The sequence below is a fragment of the Homo sapiens genome, chromosome 12 (assembly GCF_000001405.40).
Source record: "Homo sapiens chromosome 12, GRCh38.p14 Primary Assembly".
Taxonomy (NCBI): domain Eukaryota; kingdom Metazoa; phylum Chordata; class Mammalia; order Primates; family Hominidae; genus Homo; species Homo sapiens.
The window spans coordinates 131,821,580-131,828,391 of NC_000012.12; the positions used below are offsets into that span (position 1 = coordinate 131,821,580).

Here is a 6,812-nt window from a genome sequence, read left to right on the forward strand (position 1 = left end):
CGTCCTCATTTTCCTTTAAAACCCTTTTTCTTCCTTTACCCCCCTTAATATACACATAGTTTACTATGGCACACACATTCCCTCCCAAATAAATATACATATCCTCTAGAGAGCCTCTTTCTGTTTCATATTTAGGTTGGGAAGTTCTAATACCATTCTCCAATACAAGGAACCCAGGGCCAGGCACGGTGGCTCACGCCTGTAATCCCAGCACTTTGGGAGGCCAAGACAGGAGGATCACTTGAGCCCAAGAGTTTGAGACCAGCCTGGGCAACCTTGTCCCTACTAAAAATAAAAAATTACCCAGGCATGGTGGCATGCACCTGTGGTCCCAGCTACTCAGGAGGCTAAGGTGGGAGGACTGCTTGAACCCAGGAGGTCAAGGCTGCAGTGAGCTATGATCATGCCGCTGCACTTTAGCCTGAGCAACAAAGCGAGACCGTGCCTCAAAAACAAACAAACAAAAAAAAAGCAAACCAAACAAAAAAACACAAAACAAGGACTGGGGCAGGAAACACACAACCTTATAGTTGCAGAAAGTAAAAACGTGCTCAACACAAACAAAATCCCCAGTTTAGGGCCAGGTGCGGTGGCTCACGCCTGTAATCCCAGCACTTTGGGAGGCTGAGGCGGGTGGATCACCTGCGGTCAGGAGTTCAAGACCAGCCTGGCCAACATGGCGAAACCCCATCTCTACTAAAAATACAAAAAATTAGCTGGGCATGGTGGCGGGTGCCTGTAATCCCAGCTACTCGGAAGGCTGAGGTAGGAGAATCGCTTGAACCCAGGAGGCAGAGGTTGCATGAGCCGAGATCATGCCATTGCACTCCAGCCTGGGCAACAAGAGTGAAACTCTGTATCAAAATAATAATAACAATACATTTTATAAATAAATAAATGTCACATGAGATCCAGACGGGGCCCTGGCACAGAAAAAAGGACATTAGAGAAAAACTCAGGGAACCTGAATAACGTGTGGATTATGCTTAATGACAATGTATCATTACGGTCCATTCACTGTGACCAACGTTCCATGATAAGATAAAATGTTAATTACAGAGGAGAGTGAGTGTAAGGTGTATGGGCACTTCAGCCATTATGGAAATTAAAAATAGAACTGCCACAGGGCCTGACAGTCCTTCCCCTGGGCCTGTACCCGAAGGAATCCAGCTCACCACCCATCCAGGTGTCCACACTCACACGTCCACCACAGCACTACCCACAGCGGCCAAAGCAGGGAACTACCTGGGCATTCATCAGTGGCCGGACAGATAAGGAGACTGTGGTGTATATGATCACGTGGAGAGAGGTGATGGACTATTGTTCAGCCTTAAAAACAGAGGAGATCCTGCATTTGCCACATGGATGGACTAGGGGTCACGATGCCAGCAAGACAAGCCAGACACAGAAAGAAACATCACAGGATCTCACTAATATCCAGAATCTTTAAAATAAATAAATAAAGGCAGGCGGGGGTATTGGGTGCGGTGGCTCACACCTGTAATCTCAGCATTTTGGGAGGTCAAGGTGGGAGGATCACTTGAGCTCAGGAGTTTTGAGACCAGCCTGGGTAACATAGCAAAACCCCATCTCTACAAAAATGTTTTTAAAATTAGTTAAGTGTGGTGGTGTGCACCTGTGGTCCCAGCTACCTGGGAAGCTAAGGCGGGAGGATTGCTTGAGCCCAGGAGGTTGAGGCTGCAGTGAGCCGTGATCATACCACTGCACTCCAGCCTGGGCAAGAGAGCAAGAACCTGTCTCACAAAAATAAATAAATAAAAAGGTGGGGATCAAATATATAAAGACAGAGAATAAAACAGTGGGCGACAGGGTGAGCCCCTTCAAAAGGGCTCGTGTGCACCTGAGGGCTGCAGAGAATAATTATGCTCCAGGCGTCTGCTAATGCATGGGTCATGGTTGCGCTGGCTGTGGGAGGAAGACAGGTGCCTGGGAGATGATGCAAAACTCACCCGTTCTGCTGTGGCCACCAATTTACTACGTATACGTACCCTACACCACCACAACGTACACCGTAAATGCACACGATAACATTTATCTTTTAAAAAGATACGTGGGGCGGGGCGCAGTGGCTCACGCCTGTAATCCCAACACTTTGGGAGGCCAAGGCGGGTGGATCACCTGAGGTCAGGAGTTCGAGACCAGCCTGACCAACGTGGAGAAACTCCGTCTCTACTAAAAATACAAAATTAGCTGGGCGTGGTGGCGCATTCCTGTAATCCCAGCTACTCGGGAGGCTGAGGCAGGAGAATCGCTTGAACCAAGGAGGCGGAGACTGCAGTGAGCTGAGATTGCACCACTGCACTCCAGCCTGGGCGACAGAGTGAGACTCCATCTCAAAAATAATTAATTAATTAATTAATTAACATTTAAAAGTCAACAACGAGGGGCTGAGGACCTCCATTGGTGGTGTTCGTGGCAGCAGGGAAGCCAGGTACCAGTGCATGAGGACTTGGAACCAGGACTTCGAAGACGCTGGGCTGAGGAGAAGACCAACCAGGCTGGGGCTGGCATAGGGTCCAGGGAGGGCCCATCTCTGAAATGGGTGACATAAGCCAAACACAGTGTTTTGTGCTCAGGCCTCTCTGCACTGGGCTTCCTGTCACTTACACCCAAAGAGCCTTGAATGGAATTCACCCTGAGCGATACAACCAGGGGCACAGCACCCCCTCCTCACTGCCTGACACGAGGGTCCTGGGTCCCCACAGGAGCAACCGTGGGCAGGGCCACCTGGGAGCTGCCCGTCAGAGTGTCTGCACCCGGATGGCTACAGACCAGGGCTGGGCACCTCTGGCTTTCCTACAACCTTCATGTCACAGCTAGGAGCCCCAAGCGTGTGTCCCACAGAGCTCCGACAATAGTGCCCGCCTGTCATTTGCCCATCTTCATGGTCCACAGACAACGCTACCTGAGTCTCCAGCCAGGGGCTGGAAATGAGCTGATGGGCCCAGCCCAGGTTTAATGCTCCAGGCATGGGGCAGCATCACTAAACCCTGGGCTGACAGGGACAAAGGTGGCTTTTCTAAAGGAAATTGCAGGGTAAGGGAGATGGATAGCAGGCAAGGCTGGATCAGGGGGCTCAGAAGATGTGATGCAACGTGTGGATGTGCACGTGGCAAACATAAATACAAGATACAGTTATTGTGGGTCTTTTCTGCTTTCTGCTTTTCTTGCTTCTCATAAATTGTTTAATTTGCTCAACAGTATGTCTGAGGCCGGGCACAGTGACTCACACCTGTAATCCCAGCACTTTGGGAGGCCGAGTTGAGTGGATCACCTGAAGTCAGGTGTGGCATTTGAGACCAGCCTGGCCAACGTGGTGAAACCCTGTCTCTACTAAAAATATAAAAAGTAGCTGGGCGTGGGGGCAGGTGCCTGTAATCCCAGCTACTCGGGAGGCTGAGGCAGGAGAATGGCTTGAATCTGGGAGGCAGAGATTGTAGTGAGCCGAGATCGCACCACTGCACTCCAGCCTGGGTGACAGAGCAAAACTCCGTCTTAAAAAAGAAAAAAATCCAGCAATATGTCTGAGTGGCCCTGCGGATACTCTTGGATCGAATCCCTTCTTCCTGGCTTCTGTCTTTGGGTCATAGCCCAGTGTTGTCAGCCCAGGGCAGCCACCAGCTTACACAGCAGCTTTGTGGGTCTTGGAAAGGTGCCTGATTCCTCATGTGCTGTGGCCCCACGGTGAGGCCATGGATCCATAAACAGGGTGCAGGTGGGACTCCAGCCCCTACCCATGCCCTTGGCCACAGCCAGCAGGACACATGGCCCTGGATCAGCCAGTCGGCCATGGGTGGGCGCGTGGGCAGTTTCTGAATTCTTTCCTATTACAAATCCCGCTGCAACACCATGCTTGCATTAGCCTTCCCGTGCAAAGACCGGAGCGTTCCTCTACAGCAGACGCCAAGAATTCTGGCCGCAGAACATGTGCTTCTTGAATCGTAATAGCTGCTACCTGGTGGCCCTCCCGAGGGGCTGTACCAGGAGCCTGAGTGCCCACTCCCCACACCCTCCTCCACAGATGATAATACGTGGTTTTTCTTTTTCCTTCCTTCCTTCCTCCCTCCCCTCTTTCTCTTTCTCTTTCTCTTTTTTTTCTCTCTCTCTCTTTCTTTCTCTCTCTCTCTTTCTTTCTTTCTCTCTCTCTCTTTCTTTCTTTCTTTTTCGTGGCAGGGTCTCGCTCTGTCTCGCCGGAATTCCTGTGCTTAAGTGATCCTTCCACTTCAGCCTCCCAAGTAGCTGGGACCACAGGCACACACCACCATGCACAGCTATTTTTATATTTTTAGTAGAAACATGGGTTTCGCCATATTCGTCAGTCTGGTCTCAAACTCCTGAGCTCAAGCGATCCGCCTGCAATTCAGCCTCCCAAAGTGCTGGGATTACAGGTGTGAGCCACCGTGCCGTCATGATTTTTCAGCGTTGCAAAGCTGATGGGAGAAGAGCGATTTCTTGCGGGGCTTGGATCTCAGCGGCTTTCAGATGTCCGAATGGGGTGGCAGGCTTGAAGGGAACACAGCAGCCATGGTGCCAGGCAGCTGCTTTGAGGAAGGTCAAATTCCCGATGTCTAACCAAGCATCTCCAGTTCACCAGCCGCCACCAGGCCTTTCTGGGGAGAACAGTGGCCTGCCTGTAAGGCCCTTCTCACATTTGTACATCCCAAGCCACTGTCGCCCAAGCTCCATAAACAAGCCATCTCCCTTCAATGCCAGCAAGCCCCGCGGTGAAGCCCCTTGCCAGCACCGAGCTACAGCCCCTCAACAGCGTCCTGTTCCAAGTCTCAGATGTGTATGAGCCCCATGATGCAGTGGGGGCACTGGCCGCGTTCCCTCTTCTGAGTCCTCGACCCAGCTTTGCCTGCCATCCACCCTCCCTTCCTCTGACTTCAGCACCTCTGATTTCCTGTAGAGAATCCCTTCCAGCCCAGGGCTTCAGCTCACTTCCCTGCCCCTGGCCCCACGATCAGGTCCTGACCCAGAATCCAGAGAGAGGTGGCCTTGGGACCATTGGTTGAGAAAGAGTCTGTCTCTGGCTGGGCCTGCTGAGGGGGAAGGATGCACAGGAGCTGCCCTGGGCCGTCTTTGCCCCACACAGAGATGGACTGAGAGAAACCGCGTTCTGACGCTGTTGCTGTGAGACTTGGTCCAGCCCTGCCTGACTTTGGCACACGCTAGGACGCCACCGTTTCCTGAGCCCATACCCATACGCTTCCTTTCCTTGACTACAGCCGCTTTGGCTGGGTCTCTGCTCTGGAAACCAGGTTGTCCTGATGCACTTGGTCAAAATCCCGGATGAGGCCAGGTGCGGTGGCTCACGCCTGTAATCCCAGCACTTTGGGAGGCCAAGGCGGGCTGATCACCTGAAGTCAGGAGTTCAAGACCAGCCTGGCCAACATGGTGAAACCCCGTCTCTACTAAAAATACAAAAATTAGCTGGGCACGGTTGTGCACGCTTGAAATCCCATCTACTCAGGAGGCTGAGACAGGAGAATCATTTGAATTTAGGAAGCAGAAATTACAGTGAGCCAAGATCGTGCCACTGCACTCCAGCCTGGGCAACAGAGCAAAAAAAAAAAAAAGAAAGAAAGAAAAAACAATCCGGGATGTCCTGTGAAAGTCCCCACCTCCTACAGGTGATCCCATCAGTCCGAACCAAGGTCATCTGAAGCAGGTGTGGAATCACCCTGTTCAGACCGGGCCAGGGAGGCTCTGAGGGCAGCAGGGACAGGATGGGCCAGAGTACCCAGGGAAGCGGGGGGGGGGGGGGGGGGGTGGTTGGGGGGAGTCGGCCCTCACAGGAGGGGAGGGGCACCACTTCCCTGAGACCAGTTCTGGTAAAAGGGGCCGAGCCTCAGTTTCCCTGTCCGTAGAATGAGACCTCAGTCCTGACAGTACCAGCTGCGATTTGGGGTGGTGGAGCAGGAGGGCCTGGGAAGGAGGGGAAGCCATGCTGTCCAGCACGAGGAGAAGCTGAATAAAGGCAAGGGTTACCCTTGAACCTCACCCCCTGCCCTCTCCCAAGATCTCCCACTCGGTGGGCAGCCTGTACGCAACTTGCACGAGTTCAATCCACACAAGCGCCTGCTCGGGCTCTGACCCTGGCTCTGCCGCTTGCCCGCTCCAGGACCTCCCATAAGTTACTTCATTTCTTTGGGCCTCAGTTTCTTTGTCTGCGAAATGGAAATCATAGTTTTCATCTCATAAATGTTGTAAGTAAATGAAATTATTTATGTAACTCCTGGGCATGTGCCAGGCACACGCTGCGCTCCAACAAACATTACAAGTTAACATTCTCGCTCCCAGGCCCGCAGGGACCGCAGAGCCTCCGCCGAGGACCCCAGCCCCCCCAACACCCGCCCTCGCCCTCCAGTCCCCCGCGCCCCCCAAGCCCCACCCTCCCTCTCCCGCGGTCCGCGGGCTCCACCAAGCGCCCACCTGCTGCGCTGCGGCGGCGGCTCCGGGGCCTGAACCCGGGTCTGAACCCGGGCCTCGGCGCCGTGGGGGGTGGACCCGGGAGCGCGGCCGGAGAGGGGAGTCAGGGTCAGCTCCCCGCAGGCGCCCCGACCCCCGCCTCCGCGCCCATCCCGCGCGTCCCCGCCGCCCCAAGAGCGTCCTAAGACACCCGGGGAAACGCCTTCCCTGTGATGCCGCGGACCCAGTCCCGTCGCGGACACGGCGGGGCGGGCGGGGGTGGCAGCGTCCGAGGCGGCGCGGGCCCTTTAAGGCGGCCGGCCTCGTTAGCATACATTTGCATGGCCCCGCCCCGCCGCTTGAGGCTGCCGCGCGGGGCT

The 6,812-nt window shown here is 54.0% G+C and overlaps 1 annotated feature.

Annotated features, from left to right (window-relative positions):
* Window positions 6,679-6,808: a silencer, noted in NCBI's record as "silent region_5099". NCBI's record gives its function as "represses an Ori minimal core promoter by ATAC-STARR-seq in GM12878 lymphoblastoid cells {active_cell/tissue: GM12878}" and the evidence as "EXISTENCE:reporter gene assay evidence [ECO:0000049][PMID:35858748]".